This window comes from Homo sapiens, chromosome 20, assembly GCF_000001405.40.
Source record: "Homo sapiens chromosome 20, GRCh38.p14 Primary Assembly".
In the NCBI taxonomy this organism is placed as follows: Eukaryota; Metazoa; Chordata; class Mammalia; order Primates; family Hominidae; genus Homo; species Homo sapiens.
This window is the reverse complement of record NC_000020.11, coordinates 45,027,244-45,052,712: the sequence shown is the minus strand read 5'-3', so window position 1 is coordinate 45,052,712 and position 25,469 is coordinate 45,027,244. Positions and strand designations below refer to the sequence as shown.

At 36.9% G+C, this 25,469-nt stretch overlaps 1 protein-coding gene across 7 annotated transcripts in view, besides 1 other annotated feature; it reads right to left on the bottom strand.

Annotated features, from left to right (window-relative positions):
- Positions 1-25,469, bottom strand: part of STK4 (serine/threonine kinase 4) — a 113,510-nt gene that overhangs the window by 27,309 nt on the left and 60,732 nt on the right. The window lies entirely within an intron of this gene.
- Positions 814-883: a silencer, noted in NCBI's record as "silent region_12954". NCBI's record gives its function as "represses an Ori minimal core promoter by ATAC-STARR-seq in GM12878 lymphoblastoid cells {active_cell/tissue: GM12878}" and the evidence as "EXISTENCE:reporter gene assay evidence [ECO:0000049][PMID:35858748]".

Sequence of the window (25,469 nt, the reverse complement as noted above, 5' to 3'; positions counted from 1 at the left end):
TGAGAGCGCAGGTGCTGATGGTTAAAACCCCAGCTTAATTCACACACTCAACAGGCAAAAAAATGCAACAATAAAAACAATCACAAAGACTCAATCCCCAAACCTCCTGTTGACAAGAAAAAAGCCTGGCTTAATATATTAGAACGACCTGAAAACAACCCAACTCCAACCAAAAAAGCCCCAAATGTTAAATGCCAAGTAAAAAGAGGATGATTAAATCAATCAAAAGAATGTAATGTGATGGGCTACTATGTGACCCTTAAAAATGATTTCACAAGTGTTTTTAATGATATGAGAAAATGTTTAAGATATGTTAAGTGAAAAAAAATCAAGATTTATTATGCATGCAGAATGATCTCAGCTGTGTAAAATAATATCTAAGTATTAAAAAACTGGAAGGAAATGTTAAAATGTAATTATTATTGCTGGGGGGGGTGGAAGAGTTGTAAGAGACATTTTCTTCTTTAAGCTTTTCTTCAGTCTCTAAACTTTCTATAATGAGTGTGTTTTTACAACTAGAAGGTTAACAAAATAGCATTGTAACATTATAGAAGAGCAAACCAACACCAAAAAAGAAGAAAATAATAACATTTATTAAGTGCTTATTGCAGGCCAGCAGTAAGGACCATTGTCCTAAAGGTGCTTTACGTGCATTACAGGTTTAGTATCCCTTATCCAAGATGCCTGGGACCAGAAGTGTTTTGGATTTTGGATTTTTGGATTTGGGATTACGCAACCTGCATCTCATTTGATACTCACGACAGCCCTATGAAAGAGGTATGACTTTACCATGTTTGACAGATAAGACAATCAAGGGTTAGACAGGTGGCATAATAGGTGGAGAAGATAGGCTATGAGCCCTAACAGAATAACTCCAGTGGTTTTAACCACTATATGCCTCTCAACCACAATGGCATAATCTGTCTCCCTGCCTGCAAGCCTGACCTAAACATAAGCCTCAATGACAAAATCTACTTTAGAAGGCACTATAATAATTTAGGATAGTGTGACTGCCAAGGTACTAAGATACTCAGATAAATATTCAAAAGAGGAACTAAAACACCTCTAATGAAGCTATAAAAAGAATCCATGTGATAGAGCAATGCATCGCTGCAGTTGAAAACATACCAGCACAACAAATCAACCCACAGCTAAATCCCACTATACAAGAGAAGCTAGTAATAACTGTCAAAGAAAGACCCCTGGTAACCACTTATTGAACTACCATGAAAAAAGGAACTCACTAAAAGATACAATAACAATGAGCTAGACAGTAAGGATTTGAATTTGTCTCCCAAAAAGCCCCCTAGCAACAAGAGGCCTGGACCATCAAAGGCTAGAGAAAAGAAAGAAACTAAAGAGAAAAATAAAAAGCATTGTACTTGATGCCAAATTATATAAAATACAACCAGCACAGAAGGACCACCTTACTTTTCTTTCAGTCTAGCACTAAAGGCCTTTTGGTTAGAAACAATCAATTTTGCTTGGCAAAAAAAGGATCAAGACATAGAAGTACTTTGGATCAAATTCTGTAGAATCAGCCTATTTGAGATGCATTAAGGTTAATGCCAAAACCAATACGGTGTTCTGTTCACAGTTTCTTTCTAGAGGTTTTAAAAGCCGAAAAACATTAAAACTCAGAGTTTGAAGTGGAAAGTTTCTATCTGTAAAAACAAGCCACTTTTAGGTACTATAAGCTATTAAGATTTGGTAATTCTAAATTAATTATGTATTTTTTAAACCCTTGGTTGTTAGAAAAATATAAAGCTCGATTGCTACCTTACTCTTAACACCAAGACAAATACATGATAGATTAAATATTGAGAAAGAAAAAATAATAAAACATTCTAAAACAAAGTAAGGGTTAATATTTTTGTAATCTTAGAATGTGAAAAACTTTCCCAAAGATGACATAAAATTCCAGAAACCACAAGAAAAAGCTAATAAATCAAAATATATAAAAATTTAAATGTCTGAAGTTAGATACCATATACAAAGCTTTAAAAGATATTCTAGCAGAATATCTTTACCACATATGTTAAAAGGTTCATAACCTGACTTGATAGCTGAAGAAGTCTTTAAAATCAATAAAGAAAATAAGAATTCCATGGAAAATTCAGTAAATAATATAAAGCAACAATTCACATACCAAAAACGATAGGGAAATTTAACAATATGTATCAAAATTTCAAATTTGTGAACAGTTTGACCCAATAATTCTACTGCAGGAATTAATTCTAAGGGCGTACCATGCAAAGATGTTATTAAAGCAATATTTATTAATATTAAAAAGCTGAAGGCTACCTAAATGACCATCAGCTGGAGACTGGTTAAATCAGAGATCACAAACACAAATGTTTTGAGAGACTGGCAAAGACAACAGAAATAAACTCAACAGTCTGCTCATAAAACAAAAACAGGAAGTGATGGGGTCTGTGAAGAGCTGGAGAACTCAGACCCATTTCAGTAGTTCAAAGTATAAAAATTACATGTGCCACAGGCCAAACTGGCTCCCCCTTTCCCAGTCCCCACACACCCCCAGAGTGAGATGTGTAATCTGTAGCCATGGCACGAGCACTGCTGACTGTTCTCTCTGCAGCCAGCCTAGGAAGATCCCCTTACTCTGAATGCTCGTCTGTTCTATCACATTTGAGTAGATACAAAGGAGCTCATTGATGTGGCCAAACGGATTCTCAGGATTAACAAAACCTTAAAGGTCATCTAGTCTAACTTGAAGCTTTCCTTGAGGCTGCAGTCATTCAGACGTTTAGGCCCAGGTGAACAGTGTAGAGAGGGGAGGGGAAGGAAGTGGAAAGTGATGGAGTACAAAGCCAGAAGTCAGGGAATGAGGACTACACTTGGCTTTCCTGTGGGATTTTCATTTTCCACAACAACAAAATTGAGATGGGAGGAGAAGTGGTGAGAATTCTTAAAAAGCTGAAATCCTGTGCATCACATATTTTCTGTATCACTGTACGTAAAACTCCATTAACCGAATACCAGGAACTCAAGCATTATTCTAATATGAAGTGCTGAATTCACAGTACCATTGTTAAACATCCGTTTAGCAATGAACTCTGGGCAGCTGTTACCCTCACTGACCAAGCTGGCAAAGGGAAGAGTTCCACAGATAATGTGACAGATTGTATATGGTATTTTTACTGCAAGATCTTAATTCATCCCAGGAACTGTTTTAAAAGAATAGTTGTAGTTTATAATTGCAGTCTCAGCAGCACTTCCAAAAGTGGAAAACCTCCACTTGAAATTGGAATGGAACATTTCTTCCCAATGTGTGAAAATAACTTTATGCTTGGTCCTGCATATCTAGGAATAAGAGCACTTGGGAGGGGGTAGAAAATTTCCTGACTTTACCTCATTTTTAATAGCACTACATTAAGATTTATTAAACTAGATGCATCCATGTCTAAAGAACAGTTTTTGCTGTGTATTTTCTCCTAAGTAAAGGGCAAATGGAAGTGACTAGTGGGTCTATAAAGTAGATTCAAGTTTGCTCTCCCTCCAGCTGCTGGCCACCCTCTGATCCAATGCTCTGCAATGTGAACTCTGCTTGATGAAAGGGTACCCTCGGCAGCTGATGGATCCCATACAGCTCTCTCTGTCTCTCTCTGTCTCTTTCATACATACGCACATACATTTACTTGAGCTATTTTACATTAACAAATGTACCATCAGGAAAAAACTGTTTTGAAAAAAAAAACATCAATGTGGGAACTGTCCAGGACCTATAGCCTCCAGGCAGGCACAGAAGGGAAGCAATCAGAGAAAACACAAAAGGTCTATCAGTGTTTTAGTGAGTATCCTTGATATTTAAACCCTAGGAACAAGAAAGTCATAACAGAATTAAGCTCACCCTAGGAACAAGAAAGTCATAACAGAATTAAGCTCATCTTAGGTATAAAATAAATATCATGGCTGGGCATGGTGGCTCACGCCTGTAATTCCAGCACTTTGGGAGGCCGAGGCGGATGGATCACCTGAGGTCAGGAGTTCGAGGCCAGCCTGGCCAACATGGTGAAACCCCGTCTCTACTAAAAATACAAAAATTAGCCGGGCATGGTGGCGGGAGGCTGAGGCAGGAGAACCACCTGAACGCAGGAGGCAGAGGTTGCAGTGAGCCAAGACCACGCCACTGCACTCCAGCCTGGGCAACAGAGCAACACTCCGTCTCAAAAAAAAAAAATCACAAAGCAAACAATGTGTGAACTAGCAGGGCCTGCAACAAAAGTGTGAAATAAGTGTAGGTCTTCCTCTTACCTTCCTTTTTTAGGGCAGCCCACCTCAGTATCTTTCCCTTTTCCAGTAGTTCATCCATGTCTCCCACCCTAAGTGTTACACATGTAAATAAAATTTACTGAATGCCTACTCTGTGTCAGATACTCTGCTAAGCACTTTAAAAGCATTTTTAAATTAATCTTCTCAATAACTCAGAAGTAAATATGATTAGTATCTTCATTTTAGGTTGGGTGAGAAGCCTAGAGTTACTGGTCCCATAAATAATGAAACCAGCAATGGATCCAAGTCTATCTGCTCTTGGTCAGTATATCAGACTGCCTTCTATGCTCATGTTGGCGTCCTGGGTGTCCTAAGCATTTCTCTGCTTTTAAAAGAACAGGAAAAGAACCTTATATATACTGAGCATCTTTTACACACTTTACACAAGCTCTTTATTTTAGGCTCACATGATCCCTATGAGAGAGACGCATTAGCTGCATTTTTTAAATTGGCAAACAAAGACCAAGAGAGTTTGAGGGCTCTTGAAGGCTTAATCTTACCTTTAGCAGACAAAGAAACAGAGTCCCAGAAAGGTTAGGTGGCTTACTTAAGGACACAAAGCTAGTTACAGTCAGAGCTGAGACCTGATTCCCAACCCACTGCTCTTCTTCACTATAAATAAGCCATCACTCTAAAAGGAACCCACATATTAATAATAGATTAGGAATGCCAGGCACTTTGCTAAATGCTTTATGCTTTATCCAATTCGATCAAGGGAATTCCCAACACTGTATTTCCAATCAATGTTTTTTACTACAGTTTTACCAAAGAAGCAGGGAAGAAATCTAAATTCCACATCTATGAAATTATAGTCCAATTAACATATTCCTATACACATAGATGAATGGATATTACAAAAAGAAAATCTGAAGAAATTTAAAAAGATTTCCAAAGAGTGCACAATGGGCCCAAATAACATAATCAAATAACACATTCTGAGCACCTGCATGCTATGGCAATTCGCTAAGGGCTGCACATGTTAGAGAAAGAAAAGATGCAGCATCTGAATTAGATGAATGTTTACCATCGGCACATATATAACCATTCTCACACAAACAAACGTGCGTTATTCTGAGAAAAATAATGGTCTATCTTTTATTAATCATGCACCAAGGGTGGGACAGGTCACCTAGCATCTCTTGTCACCTAGCGCCTCAAAGCCTCTCTGTCAAATAAGTGGGAATAAGATCTATAAGATCTACCATGTGAGGATATTATGAAAAGAAGATGGTATAAAACATTTACAGGGACCTAACACACAACAAGCATTCAATAACTGCTATTTTCATCATTTCCTTGTCAAAATCCAAAATGTAGTTAGTCTTAAGAGACCAAGTGTGTCTGCCAATAAAATTTAAAATTAGACAAGATAATGAGCAACCAATATGAAGATTACTAAAAATATTCATTATCTAACACTGGAGTAAGAAAAGCAAATTAGGCTGGGCGTGGTAGCTCACACCTGTAATCCCAGCACTTTGGGAGGCCGAGGCGGGCAGATCACGAGGTCAGGAGTTCAAGACCAGCCTGGCCAACATGGTGAAACCCTGTCTCTACTAAAAATACAAAAATTAGCCAGATGTGGTGGCAGGTGCCTGTAATCCCAGCTACTCAGGAGGCTGAGGCAGGAGAATTGCTTGAATCCAGGAGGCGGAGGTTGCAGTGAGCCGAGATCACGCCACTGCACTCCAGCCTAGGTGACAGAGCAAGGCTTCATCTCGGAAAAAAAATAAATAAATAAATTTAAAAAAAAAAAGAAAAGCAAATTAGCAGAAAAGCCCATACTGATTAGACAATAGATAACAGAGTAGAAGAGAAGAAAAATTCAGGAACAAGTGCCTGAATGAGACTGACAAGCACACTGTGACAGAGATATAACCAGAAAATATATCAAATATTTCCTGTATCCATTAAGATTCCTCCACAATAGATACCTTTGTTTTCAGAGGTTATATTTGCTTTTTTTTTTTTTTCCTTTTAGTTTTGAGATAGGGTCTCATTCTGTTACCCAGGCTACAGTGCAGTGCCACAGTCATGGCTTGCTGCAGCCTCAACTTCCTGGGCTCAAACGATCCTTCTGCCTCAGCCTCCTGAGTAGCTGGGACTACAGGTACGCACCACCACACTTAGCCAATTTTTCTTTTTTTTTTTTTTGTAGATACAGGGTATTGCTATGTAGCCCAAGCTAGTCATGAACTCCTGACCTCAAGCAATCCTCCTGCCTTGGCCTCCCAAAGGGCTGGGATTGCACCTGGCGAAAACCAAAAATGTTCTTAAAATAATAATGCCTTTTTAGTTAGAATGACATTTTCTGGCTAGGTGCGGTGGCTCAGGCCTATAATCCCAGCACTTTGGGAGGCGGAGGCAGGCGGATCACCTGAGGTCAGGAGTTTGTGACTGGCCCGGCCAACATGGTGAAACCCCATCTCTACTAAAAATACAAAAATTAGCCAGGCATGGTGGCATGCACCTGTAATGTCAGCTACTCAGCAGGCTGAGGCAGGAGAATCATTTGAACCCGGGAGGCAGAGGTTGCAGTGAGCCGAGATTGGGCCACTGCACTCCAGCCTGGGCGACAGAGCGAGACTCCTTCTCAAAAAAACAAACGAACAAACAAAAAAAAAAGACACTTTCTGACAATAGCAAAATTACTGTACAACCCATAATTAGAAAGTAAATAAGAAAGAACAGCAAAAGAAAGTACAAATTAAATTGCTCCAATAAGAATTGTTTGCATAAACAATTAATGAAATACAAAGCTTGTCAATCTGCATTGTGTTCTCAATAAGCATGAAAAAAAACACTGTGAGTTAATAATAAATACTCCTCTAATGTCACGAAATTCCCAGGAAGATGCAATAAACCTGAAATCATTCTTCCTGGTTACTGTAGTCCCTATCACATGTTATTTGAAAGAAGATTCTTTTTCCTGGTTTATAACATTGGGTATTTAATATGTAAGCATAGTTTTTGTTTTTGTTTTCATGTGAGAAAACACACACACTTATGAATTAACGCAGACAGGAAGCCACTTAGGGGTCTGGGTTCCAGACCTGATTCTGGCACCAAGTAGGAAAGATGCCTTTGTAAAATGTCTCTGGGCTCCAGTTCCTCAAACTATAAGAGGATAAGAAACCCCACCCTGCTACCTCACAGAAACACTGTAAGCATTGCCAAACAAAAGAACAAACTATGAATGCATCTTTAACTATATTAAATGCTACCTAGATCTAAAGTGATAATGTTACTATCATCAGCAAACGGAGTCATACCAGAAATCCAGGCTTAACTGCTCCTTTGTCTTCCTCACTTCTGAATTATTTGTCATCATTCAAAGAGTTAATTTTTTTATAATAGTAAAATAAAATGTGAAATAAAAATAAGTGATAATACTTAATACACAATGAACCGAAAATAAACATCAACGGCCTTATAATTCTTGGCTAATAAAATTCTACCAAAGTTTTGAAAGTAAACTTAGTTCAAATAACCCAATGTATATTTCATTTGATCCTTTCTCCAACTCTGTGGGAAAAGCAGGATAGGTACTATTATGTTTAATTTTTACAGATCACAAACTAAAATTCAAAGAGGAGGGTGACTCACCCAAGGTCCCAGCTAAAGCCTGGGCCATTCACCCTTCTTCTTATGTAATGTAATGTTCATTCTACTGGTCTGTGTTACAAGTTTTCCCTATTTTCAAACAAACTCACTTCACACAATGTCAAATTTCTAAAGTGATTCAGTAACTTTTTTCTTTTTTTTGAGACACGATCTTGCTCTGTTGCCCAGACTGGAGTGTAGTGGCACAATCACGGCTCACTGCAAACCATATACTCCCGGGTTCAAGCAAGCCTCCCACCTCAACCACCTGAGTAGCTGGGACCACAGGCACATGCCACCCTACCTGGCTTTTTAAAATGTGCTTTTATTTTTTGTAGAGATGGGGTCTCACTATGTTGCCCAGACTGGCCTTGAACTCCTGGGCTCAAGCGATCCTGCAACCTCAGCCTCCCAAAAAGCTGGGATTATAGGCATGAGCCACTGGTTCGGTAATTTTATCATTCACCCGGCCTGGTTCAATAATTTTATCATTCATTTTACATAGCCAGCAAGCTCTGCCTTAAGCAAATGCCACACAGGAGATTGTGCACTCAAGAAGTGAAAGGGCGGCATCTATTGGTAGAAGTGTGTTACTGTAAGGGAAGTAGTTTCAGAGCTTCAAGATTTGAAAATTTCCGTTAACCTCAACAGTTCATGATTTGAGAGGTGGGTAGAAAGAAACACTGTATTATTGTATAGAGATGTAAGGAAAAGAAAGGAAGAAAGCATTAGGAAGTTCTAAAATTGATACCTATGATCACTTTGGTAATCAATTTCCAAGCAGTAATAGTTTTAATTCCTTTGTTTTAGAGTAGTTTTAGATCAGTCCCTCTGGGAGCAAGTATTCTTTGGGAATGTATCTCTGATTTTATAACAGAAGGCAATGGCAAATCACTGGGGGAAAAGTTTAGGTAGTGAAATTTACTCCATGGACAATGTTTCAAGAAAGGAGGGGAAAGTGGAAGGAGGGAGGAGAAGCTGACATTTATGAAGTGACTACAGGTGAAGTATCCCTTAACCAAAATGTTTGGGACCAGAAGTGTTTTAAACTTTGGATTTTGGAGGATTTTGAAATATTTGCATTATACTTACCTGTTGACCATCTCTAATCCAAAAATATGAAATTTGAAATGCTCCAATGAGCACTTTCTTTGACTGTTCAAAAGTTTCAAATTTTAGAGCATTTCAGGATTTCAGGTTTGGGATACTCAATCTGTATTATATTGCAGGCCCCTGATGTGCATTACTCCATTTAACTCTCATATAGGTTCAAAATGTATCCTATGGGTTCTAGTATTACTTCATTTTACAGATGAGGACAATGAAGCTCAGAGAGGAGAGGTAAGTGGCCCACAGCTACTCAGCAAATGGTGAAGTCAGGATTTGAACGCTGAAAGCCTGATTCCAATGATCTTAACTACCAAATCTACTGCTTCTTCACTAAAAGAACAGTCACTTTGGTACACTTGGTACACAACTGCAACTTTATCAAGCCTTCTAAACAAATGTAAAATCTTTGCTATTGTGAATAGTGCTGTAATGAACAACCTAAATGTTCATCAATGATAGACTGGATAAAGAACATGTGGTATATATATACCATGGAATATTATGCAGCCATAAAAAGGAAGGAGATCATGTCCTTCACAGGGATATGGATGGAGCTGGAGGTGATTATCCTTAGCAAACTAACACGGAACAGAAAAAAAAATGCTGCATGTTCTCACTTATAAGTGGGAGCTGAATGATAAGAACACATGGACACATGGTGGGGAACAACACACACTGGGGCCTGTCAGAGGGTGGGGGCTTGGGAGGAGGGAGAGCATCAGGAAGAATAGCTAATGGATGCTGGGCTTAATACCTAAGTGATGGCATGATCTGTGCCATAAACCAACATGGCACACATTTACCTATGTAAAAAACCAGCACATCCTGCACATGTGCCCCTGAACTTAAAAGTTGGAAATTTTTAAAAAAGAAAAAGTAAAATCTAACATTTTCAGTCAAAAAATCTGGATGTATCGAACAACCAATACCCTGAGTTGTGTTTTTTTCTCAGTAGCAGTACAATAAATTACCATCAATCAGCCTTCTCCTCCCTACACTGTCCATTAGAAATCTCAGTAATATCAGCATCAAACTCCAACAGAGAAATGAAGAAAGGAAATGAAACATGCTTTCCATTCCAGCATTACTGGTGCTTGGAGTAGGTGTGTTATCAAAGACAAAAGATGCTAATTGCGTTGTATTTCACTTGAGTAGTGGAGGATCCAGATTTGTATTAGGTAAAAGTGGTCCTGTTGGGAGAGGGAAATGACACCAGGAACACACCTTAGATAATGAGAAAAGTTCTGCATCATGTTTTTTCTTTCAGAGGCACTGGGCTACATAAGCAAATATCACTTTCAAGAGCTCTAATAGAGACCCTTTCTTTGGATGGAGTGGGAAAACTTGCATAAATCTCCTTTGTCTTCTCAACATTTCATGTCCCAGGAATAAGGATTACTGAATTGTCAAGAGTTCGTGTGAGAAAAAAAAACAGGAGGTAAAGCTGAAAAGAAAGACTGAAGAAAATATCTTCAACAGCTCAAAAGAAGAGTGAAAAATATGTGTCTAAGTGAATGAGATCATAATTCAAAAGCGTGGCTATAGATCCAGGAATAAGAAAAATACATTCATCTCAGCTGAAAACTAAAAACTGTGCTTTCTAGAGTAATAGCTAATTTACATTTTAAATTTCAGCCATTGAAACCTTCTTGATGAATAATAAACAACACTGAAGTTACAGTTGTTTTTCTTTTTCTTTTCTGACTTCAAATTATAGAAAAATTAAAGTAACTGAACCAAATCTGGCTTTGGTTGTAATGAGATTCAAACTTTAAAAACTTCAGGTTCTGATTACAGCAATTAGGAATTCCAGGCCTCCAGGTTGTTAACACCTGGCAACATTTTAATGCCTGCGGCAGGCTAACAAACAATGTTTGCCAGGAGATTGATTACTCACTCTTCCTGTGACACGTGATGTTATGACTAGAGTCTTAGGGGCTGCTTTATACAAACAGCACTAAAATGTGGCAGAGGGAGACCTCTGAATAAATCCACTCCTTGCTGTTTAAAAAAAAAAAAAAGCTAAACACGCTTAAAACATGTAACTTGCTTCTCAAAACTGACAAAGCATGAACCTAAAAAACCAAAACAATCATAAAAAATTGCATTCCCTATTTATGAATAGGTTTATGAAGCAATCAACTTAAAAACTGTTGCAAACAACCTAAATGTGTATCATCAGAGGACTGGCTGAATAAACTACAATACATCCTCACAACAGAATACTAAGCATAGGAAAAAAGAATGAGGACTATCTCTATGTATGGCTATGGAGTAATTTCTAGGATATATAATTAACAAAAAACAAACAGAGAAAAGTATGGACAGGACACTACTGTTATCTCAGAATGGTAGTACAAACATACATGTATTTGTCTGTGCGTGCATGCATGCATGCATACATGTGTCTTGTGTATATCTCCCAAACATTAAAAAAAGGAGGAAACAGAGGAGATAGGAATAGAAACTAAATCTGAACAACTTTGTTTTGTAGACTTGCCCCTTGGAACCATATAGTTTATATAATTATAAAGCAAAACAATAAAAAGCAATACCTCAAACAAAAAACAAAATGAAACAAAAAAACCTATTGGCCAATTAAGTTTGTGGCATAACCACGTAGAAATTATTCCCAGTAGCTTTAACATATAATAATTTCATTGTACATCTATATGGGATGTCCCTAAGGACAACAAGCTGCAACACAAATCTTTAACTGTTTTCAGTATTGTTGTCAGAAGTACTGGCATTATTATTCCGAGGCTGACATTTATTGTGAATTGAAAAACAAATGAGTAATTATATTAGAATTGCTGGGAAGATATTTGGCATGGGGGAAAGGATTACAGATGTGGGATGAAAGTGGTTAAGGAAAAAACTAGTAGTATTCAATCTACACTGGAAATAGCATAAGAACGCATGAGTTTGTAATAAACACATTTCCTGGATTCATACATTGAAAAGGCTTAGAAAAAAATGACCTAACTGCAATGAGCACAACTTGCACCCAGACTGTGGTCTCTAATTACCATTTCCCATTTTAAAAACCTGAGTTCCTTAAAAAAAAAAAAAAGGTCTGTTTCCAGGTTTGGAGCAAGACATGGACAAGATGAGCCTGGAACATCTCACATCTCATCATACTAGAAAGCAAGGATGCTCTCACAAACTACCAGGGAGTATATAAAGCATACCTCAATAAAACATTTAAAAGTAACTACTGGGGTTATATCAAGATGGAACCATTTGAACATAAGAAATAGATGAAAGGATTGAAACAGATCAAATATTTTTAAATCCACGAATTTATGATACAAAAAAAATCCCTGGTTATATCTTTGGAGAATGCCAGGGAACCAATACATTATTTTGAAAATTATAATAAAAATCAAAAAATCAAGTGCATATTCTGTCTTTTCTGTATACATTGTACCTGAGATTATCTAAATAATGAAATGCTTCTTTACTTCAATTGGTAAATGGAGAAGAAATGATCAAATGTCACCACTTTGTAACCTCTAATGAAATGGCATCCAGACAATGACCTTCACTGGTTTCTAACAACGGAAAAAGAGAGATGACCATATATCCAGATATTATGAACCTTCTGATGGAAGTATACATACCACCTATGAAATACCCTTGCCAAAAAAAAAAAAAAAAATCGAACCTGATTCTGATCAAGCTTCTAGATCAGCAATTCTCAAAGTCTGGCTTGCAGATCCCTGGAAGATCCCTGACACACTCTTAGGGGACTCTATAAGACCAAACTATTTTCATATTAATCTTAAGACACTATTTGACTTTTCTACTGTGTTGACATCTGTACTGATTACACAAAAGCAGTGGGGGCTAAAACTGTTAGCCTCAGTAGAAACCAAAAAGTGGCACCAAATAGTGTCAGCAGTTATTGCATTCTTTACAGTCACTGGCTACAGTTTTTTAAAAATCCTTAAGAATGTCCTTGATGAAGTAGTAAAAAAGTTCATGTCTTTTTAATAGTATCTATGATGAAATGGGAAGTCCGCATATAGCACTTCTGTTTTAACTGAAATACAATGGTCATTTTGAAGCAAAGCACTTGTGCAATTGAGCTGCAAGCTCAACCAGCTGCTTTTTCCACAGAGCACCATTTTACATGAAAAATGACAAACTGTGAGTATTCAGACTTGGGTATCTGGCAGACATTTTCTCAGAAATGAAAAAAGTGAGTCTGTCACTCAAAGGAAAACAACTAAGAGTGTTGTAGCTGATGATAAAATTCAAACCTTCAAATGAAAATAAGTATTCTGGAAAACTTGAATCTACCACTGTGAGCTTGACAACTTCCCTACACTTAGCTACTCTTCTGATGAGACTGGTCATAACTTCAAGGAATGTGGGGTTTTTTTATATTGTTTAATGAAATGTGCCAACATTTAGAAGATCCATGTAACTGAATGAACCAACATCTTCCAAATGCCCAATGCGTGATGTTACAAAATCATGTGTGAGTAAAAGTTCCACTCAAAATTTTAAAACATCAATGAATTTTAATATACAGAGTAAGAAAATTTCATGAATTTAGTTTTATATTCTACATTGCAACTAACCTATAAGAAACCACTACTTGTTGAGTTTTGGTATAGGGTCAAAGACTATCCACAGTTATCTTAAACAGCTATTACAATAGTTCTGTCTTTTTCAACTACACCTCTTTTTGCTAGGCTAGACTTTCTTCCTATACTTCAAACAGAACAATGTATTACAACAGACTGAATGCAAAACAGATAGGATCATCTATCTGTCTAAGCCAAAAAATTTGAAAAATGTAAACAATGCTATTTTTCTTACTCATTTGTTTTTGTTTTGGGAAAATGGTCATTTTTCATTGAAAAAAACTACATTAATGTATAATTAGCTTTTTTTTTAAGTAAATAAATTCTTTAAACATTTTTTGAGTTTTAATTTCTAATTCAGTAAATATTAGTATAAACGAAAGCCCTCTGGGGTCCTCAATAATGTTTATAAGTATGAAGCGGTCCTGAGGACCTCTGTTCTAGATAAAACTACCAATTTATAAGAAACTCAGGGAACATATTAAATAAGACCACTTAGATGCAATCAGCAATATCCCGAATGAAGGTTGAAACTATATGGGATAACAACTGGGTTTCTCCAACAGTATCTCAGAGTACACGAGCAGGGGTAGCAGAAAGGAAGGGCTTTAAATTAAAAGTGGCTTAAGAGACATATCAACCAACTTCCTATAAATCGCATTTGGATCCTAATTCAAACAAGCTAAAAAATATATATAAATCCAGGAGACTAAACAGTAACAAGGCATTTTTTGGCATTAAGGAAATTTATTACTCCTAATTTGTAAAAGTATGATAAAGGTATTATAATTTTTAAAAGGTCAATAATATTTTATAAATACACATGAAATATTTAGAAATGAGATATGCCTGGGATTTGCTTCAAAACAATCAAGCAGTGTGGGTGAATAGTGGAGGTGAAGGATTAAATAAAACAAGAATAGCTGACTTGATGATTGTTGTAACTGAGTAATGGGACATTAAATTTTACCTTACCATTAAAGGCTGGTAAATTTAAGAATATGCACTAACTTTTAGAGTCACTTTGAAATAAATGAACAATAATTTCACCAAATGTTTTGGGAGAGTTATTTTTGTCTCTATGAAATGGCAGATAAAGTTTCAAATTGTAGATAACTGAGTTCCCAGGAAACATCAAGATGCATTCTTGACAGTATTGACTTAAGCGTAGGCAAATAAAGCATTTCTTCTACCATTTCAATCATGATTTCTAATTATAAATAAGGTAGTAATAATTCTTGCCTCCCAGCAAGTGTCTGATTTCTAACATGTGCAGCCAAAAGCAAAAAGTACAACCTAATAATAAATGAGTAACTGACTATGTTCTGACAATTCAGTAAAGCTTCTTTGTAAAAACCCAAAGAAATCTCAACTTACAATCAGATTTGGAGCCCTGATCTAGGAGAGAATGGTTAAGATAAAGTTTCATGGAATCATAGGTTGTTATCGGCCTCCTGGGAAAAACTCAGGGCTAAAATTTATCCTTCCTTACCACAAAAAGCCAACTGAATGGCTTATAACTATCCAGGGAATTCAAACAATCAATTTTGTTCAGGTTCTGTTACTTTTATCAAATTAATTTTGAATTAACAGTTTGGTGGTTTTATATCCTGATGGACCCATTATCACACAACGTCAGATGGATATTAGCTCTCTGTGCTGCATTAGGACTCCATTTTTAATTTCTCTGATATACCAAGGAAAAAATCTAAAAGAGTACTAAATATTTCCAGCAAAAAAGGGTACATTGGGCATTAATTTACTTCACCTGAAGTTCTCTCCTTCGCTCCCTTCCTCCCCTTTTGCACACATCCACACTGGTAATGCTCCAGCTCAATTACTCAGTACTTCCTGGACCCATGCCACACTCCTTAGTATCCCCACAGACACACTTCATCTTTCAAAACACACTTCCAATGACACTTATTGGTGCCTTCCCTGGGGTTCTTGCTCTCTCTTTTGGGCTCCTACAGCCCCTTCTTTATGTACTTTATGGAGAGAACTTACCAGAATAGCCTAGAAAAATGCCACACAGTACAGATAGTTAAGAGGATGGGCTCTGGAGCCAAACTGCTTTGGTTAAAATCCTCACTGTGCCACTAACTGTCTGTATAACTGTAGTCAACCACCTCCCTTTTAGTCTCAGGGTTTTCTTTTAATTGACAAATACAGTTTGTACATATTTATTGTATACAACATGATGTTTTGAAATACAGTAGTCCCTCCCTTATCCACAGGAGATACATTCTGAAAACCCCAGTGGATGCCTGAAACTGTGGATGGTAACGAACCCTATACATTCAGCTTTTTCCCATACGTAAATACCTATAATGAAGTTTAATTTATAAAGTTGTTACAGTTAAGAATTTATCAATAACTAATAATAAAATAGAACAATTACAACAACAATTCGCGGATGGAAGATTCACATTTGTTCACAATTTTCATGGATGGATGATTCGTTCTTACCACAGATCTTAGCAACCTCAGCATATGGTTTTTCCCCCCTTATTTTTGGTCAAGAACTTTCACCTCTTCTCTTAAAAGAAGCACTTTACATCTTCTCTTTGGCAAGCTGGAATTGCCAGCATCGCTACTCTCGCACGCTGGGGACATTATTAAGCAAAATAAGGGTTCCCTGAACACAAGCACTGTTATACCTCAAAAGGTGATCTGATAACCAAATTGGCTCCTAAGTGACTAGGAGTGGGTACCGTGTACTGCACAGATATGCTGGACAAAGGGATGATTCATGTCCCAGGCGGGATGATGCGCCATGGCACAAGATTGCATCATGTTACTCAGAATGGCATGCTACTTAAAACTTAGAAACTGTTTATTTCTACAAGTTTCCATTTAATATTTTCAGACTGCAGTGGGTAACTGAAACCTCATAAAATGAACCTCATAAGGACATACTGTATGTACATACATTGTGAAATGGCTCAATCGAGCTAATTTACATGTGTGCTACCTCACATACTTACAATTTCTTTGTGGTGAGAACACTTAATTAAAATCTACTCTCTCAGTGATTTTCAAAATACAATACATTGTTTATTAACTAGTTACCATGTTGTACAATAGATCTCTTGAACTTATTCTTCCTATTAAGCCTCAGTTTTTTTACCCCTAAAATGGCAATAACAACATTCCTACTTCATGGGATGGTTCTGAGAGCGAGGTAACATATGTAATGCCTGGCACATAGTACATTTTCAATAAATGTAAGCTATCATTAGTATAATGTATCAAAATCATTTGATTATTTTCTGCTACATCATAAACTCTCTAAGCGTAATGACTATATTTGAGTTTAATTCAACTAGTAGTTGAATAAAATAATGAATGAATTCAGAGACTATGTCTGAGTTTAATTTGAAATGGTGTGCTAACTCTAAGCTGGGCAATTGCTAGGTGTTATGAATACAAAGACGGGTAAGATAAAGTGAAGGCTGTAAAAGATCTCGCAGTCTTATCTATTCACACATAGTACACACAGAGAACCTCAATAAATATAGATTGAATTAATATGTGAGGGCCAGTTACTATCAACTCTTTTTATAGAAGAAGTCATAAGAAATCTGAAAGCAACTTCATTTGAATAAATAGGAAATTTACTCTAAAAGCTAAGGATACTGAAAGCTAATAATCAACAATACTTGCAAAGCTGATAACTGACTGAAAAGTATTGTGGTTCTCTTAATCTGTATATATATAACCTGGTTAACTTTATTTAGACTAAAACCAGAAAAAAAATCTCAATTGAAAGTTTAAAAATGTATCTTGCTCTATTTATTTCTTTTAAGTTAAGCAAGTAATATATTGATATAGTAATATATTCTCTCTCTGTGTAAAGACAGCTAAAACTAAAGTTCTCTCCACAGGTAATGACTTTCAAGTTATTTTTAGATCCTGTCTTTTTTTATCTATGCAGCTGTATGTGTGCATATACATAGAAATGGTAGCATGATTTGTGTTTTATTAAATTTACACAAATTTTACAGTTTGCATTATTTTGTATTTTATCATTATATAATACACTCATATATAATGTAAACTATGCATCCAACAAAGGTGTATATATTTTTAAAAATTTATCTATATTATATATACACACACACATATACATACATAGGTATGTTTCTTAATCCTACTCTTTAACATTGATCTTTTGTTGTTGTTGTTGTTTTAAGACATGGGGTCTCACTCTGTCACTCAGGGCAGTATACAGTGGTGCAATCCTAGCTCACTGCAGCCTCGAACTCCTGGGCTCAAGAGATCCTCCCACCTCAGCCTCTCAAGTAGCTGAGATTATAGGCATATACCACCAAGCCCAGCTAATTTTTTTTCCTTTTTTTTGTAGAGATGGGGATCTCACTATGATACTTAGGCTGATCTCAAATTCCTGGGTTCAAGTGATCCTCCCGCCTTAACCTCCCAAAGTGCTGGGATTACAGGGTGAACCACCACACCTGGCCTATGTTCTATTCTTATGCCAATATCACAGTGCTTTCATTATTGTGGTTTTGTGGTATGTTTTGGTCTCTGAAAGAATAAGATCAACCTTGTTCTTCTTGTTCAAAAGTATCTTGCATATTTTTATGCATTTACACTTCCACATGGGAAGTAAATATGGCATAGTGTTTAAACATCTATTTATCTAAGTTTTCAAATTTAATAATATAAAATTATAAATAATAATCTCTAATCACACTGCCATATTCTGTTTCTAGTAACTGTCTCTCGCCTTTCCCCTACTGCAGTTTATTGGTACACTCTTCCTTTTTAACTTGATCAAATCTACCAAATATCAGGTCCTTTCAAATATCTTGCTGTTGGTTTTTACCAATCAACTTTTTGGTTTGTTTTCTATTTTCATTAAATTCTGCTTTTATCTTTATCCTATTTTTAACTTATTTATAATCTTTCTTGTATTCTAAAAAGAAAATTCATTTAAGGCTATAAATCTTCTTCTAAGTGCCATTGTTTACTGCCTCCCACAGGTTCTGAATTACAGGGATTTGAATTTTGTATAATTCTTATTATTCATTTCTAAATTGTTTATAATTTATATTTTATTTTATCTTTAAAGTAAGATTTAAGAATATATTTTTATATCTCCAGGTGGGATAAAGTGGCTTTGACTACTTTCTTAATGTTAATTTCTAATTTTATTGCATTATAGTCAGGTAACGTGGCCTGATTTCTTTTTTAACCCTTTCAAACATTGGCTGGGCATGGTGGCTCACACCTGTAATCCCAGCACTTTGAAAGGCCGAGGTGGGTAGATCACCCAAAGTCAGGAGATTGAGACCAGCCTGGCCAACATGGTGAAACCCCATCTCTACTAAAAATACAAAAATTAGCCAGGTAGAGTAGCAGGTGCCTGTAATCTCAGCTATTCAGGAGGCTGAGGCAGGAGAATCACTTGAACCCAGGAGGCAGAGATTGCAGTGAGTTGAGATCACGCCACTGCATTACTCCAGCCTGGGCAACAGAGCAAGACTCTGTCTCAAAACAAAAAACAAAAAAAACATAGTAACTCAAAGTTGACGAACACAAGCAATGGAGAAAGGACTCCTTATTCAATAAATGATCCTGAGATAACTGGCTAGCCATATGCAAAAGACTGAAACTGGACCCCCCTCCTTAAACCGTATACAAAAATCAACTCAAAATGAATTAAAGACTTAAATGTAAAACCTAAAACTATAAAAACCCTAGAAGATAACCTAGAAAACACCATTCTGGATATAGGACCTGGCGAAGATTTCATGATGAAGGCAACAAAAGCAATTGTAACAGAAATTAAAATTGGCAAATAGGTTCTAATTAAACTAAAGAGCTTCTGAACAGCAAAATAAACTTTCAACAGAGTGAACAGACAACCTACAAAATGGGAGAAAATTTCTGCAAACTATGCATCCAAGAAAGATCTAATATTCAGAATCTGTAAGGAACTTAAACAAATTAACAAGTAAAAAGCAAACGACCTCATTAAAAATGGGGAAAGGACATGAACAGACACTTCTCAAAAGAAGACATACACATGGTCAATAAGCATGTGAAAAAAATACTCAACATCACTAACCATTAGAAAAATGCAAATCAAAACCACAATGAGATACTATCTCATACCAGTCAGAATGGCTATTATTAGAAAATCAAAAATAACAGATGCTGGCGAGGTTGCAGAGAAATGGGATTACTTATACACTGCTGGTGGGAATGTAAATTAGTTCAATCATGGTGGAAAGCCATGTGTCGATTTCTCAAAGAACTTAAAAGAGAATTACTGTTCAACCTAGCAGTCCCATTATTGAGTATATACCCAAAGGCACAGAAATTGTTCTACCATAAAGACACATGCATGTGTTGTGTTCGCTGCAGTACTATTCACAATAGCAAAAACATGAAATTAACCTAAATGCCCATCAATGACAGACTGGATAAAGAAAATGTGGTACATGTTGACATGGTATACTACACAGCCACAGAAACGAGCAAGATCACATCCTTTGCAGCAACATGGATGAGCTGGAGGCCATTATCCCAAGCAAACTAACACAAGGACAGAAAACCAAATACAGCATGTTCTCACTTGTAAGTAGGAGCTCAACACTGAGTACACATGGACACAAAGAACAGAACAATAGAAATCAGGGCTTCCTTGAGGGCAGAGGGTGGGAGGAGGGTGAGGATCGAAAAACTACCTATGGGTTACTATGCTTATTACCTGTGTGATGAAATAATCTGTACACCAAACCCCCATGACACACAATTCACCTGTGTAACAAACCTGCACATGTACCCCTGAACCTGAAATAAAGGTAAAAAAAAGAATAAAATAGTTGTTTTACAAATATTCCATGTTTTTAAAGTTTCATATATATTAGAAATTTTGTCTATTTTCTGTTTTATCAGTGTTGTTAATTGCGTTAGTTTTTTGTCTAACTGAAATGTCAATTTTGGAGAGAAGAATATTTAAGTCTTCTTGATTAACTTCTTGAAACTATAATTGCAGTATTCTCATTGCTCCTTCTATTTCTATCAGTTTGGGATAAATATGTATGTTTCATATAGGTGCATGACTTACATCTTCTAGATAAAGTATACCTTTTAACAGTATAAAACATATCCTTCCCAGGTAACATTCTTTTGTCTTAAATTCTATTTCATCTGATTTTTTTTTTTTTTTTTTTTTGAGATGAAGTCTCGCTGTGTCAGCCAGGCTGGAGTGCAGTGGCATGATCTCGGCTCACTGCAACCTCCGCCTCCTGGGTTCAAGCAATTCTTCTGCCTCGGCCCCCTGAGTAGCTGGGACTACAGGTGCATCTGCCACCACGCCCAACTAATTTTTTGTACTTTTAGTAGGGATGGGGTTTCACCATGTTGGCCAGGCTGGTCTCAAACTCCTGACCTCACGTGGTCCGCCTGCCTCGGCCTCCCAAAGTGCTGGGATTACAGGCATGAGCCACCATGCTTGGCCTCATTTGATATCAATATTGTTTCACCCACTTTCTTTTAGTGAGTATTTGCCTAGTGTATCTTTTTCCATTCCTCTGTTTTAAACTTTTCGGTTGTATTTTCTTTCCGTTACATCTCTTATAAACAGCATTTAGCCGGAATTTGACTGTTATTTTTATCCAGACTCTTTCTCTTCTAATAGGAGATTTTAGTGCACTCACATTTACTGTGATTACTGATGCATTTACATTTAAACTGCTATCCCATGTGTCACTCGGCTCCAGCCACAATGGACTCCTTTCCTTCCTTACACATAGTCTATGTCTTGCCTCACAGTCTCTGTACTTATTTCCCCTACCTTCCTGTGACTTGCTTCCCCTCTTCACTGATGTCTCAGCTGAATGTCCTGTCTCTCCACAGGCCTTTTCTCACAATATCTCTTAACTGTGCTTTAAAAAAAAAAAAAATTCGCTATTATTACCTGAACTGATACCTACTAGGGTACTGGCTTAATGTCTATTTCCTTCACTGTAAACTCCATGAGAACATGGGCCTGGTCTGTTTTGTTCACCACTGTTGGCACTTGGGCCATCTTTTTTTTATTTTTGTAATAGAGATGGGGTCTCACTATGTGCCAGGCTGGTCTCGAACTCCTGAGCTCAAGCAAACCTTCCACCTCAGCCTCCCAAAGTGCTGGGATTACAGGTATGAGCCACTGCACCCAGCCTGGGTCATCTTAAACTAAAATATTACAGTGTGTTTTTGGAAGATTCATGAGCCAAATTGGATTTAAGTTTACAGCTGTTTGTGGCTTTATGAATGGCAAAATGGGAAGGTCTGAATTCTCACAAAATATTACATTTTTTTCCAAAAAAGTGATCTGCTAATAGAATATGAAATATCAATTTTAGAGACTATTGCATTTTTAAGCACCTTTTATATTTTAATCACTATGTATCTTAAACACTATTAGAAATTTTTGGAGGGGTTTCTCAACTTGGCAAACAGGCAATTCACTTTTAGAAATGAGACAAATATTCAGTTTCAGATGAAAATATGAAGTTTTGTCAGTACAAAATTCGGCTACTCCTGATTAAATTACTTCCTATTTGCCATTTTGGGCAAAAAGGTCATTGGAAAGCAGCAATTCTCTTCATAGGAGGAAACAGAATTATCTTTTTTCATAATTAAATACTATCTGCCTAGAAATCAGAAAGTCTGTAAGAGATTGTGAAGGAGGCTGGGCCCGGTGGCTCACGCCTGTACTCCCAGCACTTTGGGAGGCCAAAGAGAGTGGATCACAAGGTCAGGTGTTCAAGATCAGCCTGGCCAAGATGGTGAAACCCTGTCTCTACTAAAAATACAAAAATTAGCTGGGTGTGGTGGCAGGCACCTATAATCCCAGATACTCAGGAGGCTGAGGCAGAGAAGTGCTTGAACCCGGGCGGCAGAGGTTGCAGTGAGCTGAGATCATGTCACCACTGCACTCCAGCCTGAGCAACAGAGTGAGACTCCATCTCAAAAAAAAAAAAAAGCAACTGTGAGGGAAACATGTTAGCAAGTCTGACACATATCCTTCGTTAAGCTTTCAGGAGATTATTCAGAACTTTCTTCACTCAAAGGACTAGCTCTTTATTTGCCAGATGTCACTTACAAACATACATTTTCCATATTTTATGTGCTTCTTTGGTACCTCCAGTAAGAGTATAGGAGACTCAAAAGGGGAATAACAAGGAAATTTAAAAATCATACAATGTTAATAAAATAGAAATACATCCTTATCTCTGAATTTCTATAGTACCTAATAGAAAAGAAAACAAGAAATGTATATGAAGATATACTACTGTAAAAACCTTTTAGAACAACTTTAGTGGGTAAGAGTCACCAGGAGGACAGGTTAAAACACCAATCAATGGGTGCTGTCCCCAGATATTCCTATTCAGTCTGCCTGGGGTAAGGCCTGAATAACTGCCTTTCTAACAGTCTCTAGGTGATGCTAACACTGCTGGTCTGGGACCACTTTGAGAACCACTGTTCTAGACTATTATTTCAAATGCTTGCTTTAGGATCAAGGTAAAAGCTATGTAACAAGAATATCAACTATGAAGACAGTTTTCATTTGATCTTTGTTGGGAGAGCAGCTCATGTATCTCTCATCTCAATTTTATTGCTTAGTTTGAAATTTTTCTGTAAGAGACTTTTATTAAGTAAATTATCTTAACATTCTGAAGGTACAAATAGAGTAGAATGTCATATATCAGAATAGGCTGGCTCAAGCATATATAAATCCAAACAATTTAGTGCAAGAGTCCCAATATCAAATGCCCCTAAGTGTCAGACAGGTCAGACAGTTAATACAAATGAGTGAAGTAGGTCAAATAGTGTGAAGAATTAGAGAGGTCATACCTAAAGAGGGCAGCTGCCACTCAGCTCCAGACAACCATTAACCAATAATGTAGGTCTACTGTAGCCAGATCTTTCACATTTTCAAAATAAGCTGGAGATCCAACATTTTGTGTAAAATCTCATAAGTTTTTAACATAAGCAACTAATTTTTAAAAATTAAAAATTTAAACACCGTATAGGACACACAGAAAGGTCTGTGAGCTGGTTGCTGCCAGTTTATGACCTCAGATTTAGAAGAAAGTCTCAGGAGGAATACAAGTCATGCAATGTGCTAACCTGGTCACTGTGCACCATGGGCCCACTCCCCCTAGAAGTCATCTACTTCCAAAATAAAAAGTACTCTCTCTAAAAGCTCCTAAAGCTCCTCCGTATAAGTAGCTTGCCCACCAAAACAAGTTTCCTGCCAATGATCTTAGTATGAGAAAACTGTGGCAAAGAGAAATAAATTCTTTACACGTTGAAACTACTGATCCAAGAATAATGATTAGAATTAAAGTTGGGCAAAAGGCCTGAATAGACATTTCTCAAAAGACATACAAATGGGCAACAGTCATAAGAAAAAATCTCAATATCACTAATCATTAGGAAAATGCAAACTGAAACCACAAAGAGCCGGTACAGTGGCTCATATCTGTAATCCTAGCATTCTGGGAGGCCCGGGCAGGAGGATTATTTCAGGCCAGGTGTTCCAGATGAGCTGGGGCAACATTTCCAGACCTCATCTTTGGAAAAAATTTAAAAATTAGCCAGGCGTGGTGATCCATACCTGTAGTCCTAGGTACTCAGAAGGCTGAGGTGGGAGGATTACTACAGGCCAGGAGTTTGAAGCTGTAGTGAGCTATGATCGGACCACTGCACTCCAGCCTGGGAGAATAAGCAAGACCCTATCTCTTAAAAAAAAAAAAAAAGAGAGATATCATCTCACCCTAGTTAGAATGGCTATTATCAATAAGACAGGAAATAACAAATGCTGGTGAAGATGTAGAGAAAGGGGAATGTTCATACGCCATTGGTAGGAATTTAAAGTAATAAAACGATTATAAAAAACAGTATAGAGGTTCCTTAAAAAATTAAAATAGGTCTACTATATGATCCAGCAATCCCACTGCTGGGCATATATCCAAAAGAAAGGAAATCAATGTATCAACAAGATATCTAAACTCTCCTATTTATTGCAACACTATTCACAATAGCCAAGATATGGAATCAACCCAAGTGTCCATCAATGGATAAATGGATAAAGAAGATGTGGTATACACACAATGGAATATTATCCGCCAGAAAAGAGAAAGAAATGTTGTCGCTTCTTTTATTGCAACATGGATATTACTGGAGGTCATTATGTTAGCTACAATAAGACAGAGACAGAAAGACAAATATTACATGTTCTCACTCATGTGGGAGCTAAAAAAGTGGATCCTATGGAGACAGAGTGTAGAATGACGGTTAGCAGTGGCTGGGAAAGAGGTGAAAGAGGGATGAAGAGAAGTTGGTTAAGGGGTACAAAAATATGTCAGAGAGAAGGAATAAGTTCTAGTATTCGATAGTACAGTAGGAAAATTATAGTTAATAATTTATTGTATACTTCAAAACGGCTGAAGATTTATAATGTTCCCAACACAAAGAAAAACGTCTGAGGTAATAGATATCCCAATTACTCTGATTTGATCACTACACATTATGAACAGGTACTAAAATATTACATGTATCCTAAAAATATCATAAACAATATTTTTTAAAATTAAAAAGGATTAAAGTGACTGGGTTTTCAAAATTGCTAACTTCTTTTTTTTTTTTTTTTTTTTGAGACGGAGTTTCACTCTTGTTGCCCAGGCTGGAGTGCAATGGCATGATCTCGGCTCACCACAACCTCCACCTCCTGGGTTCAAGCGATTCTCCTGCCTCAGCCTCCCGAGTAGCTGGGATTACAGGCATGCACCACCACACTGGCTGATTTTTTTGTATTGTTAGTAGAGACGGGGTTTCTCTGTG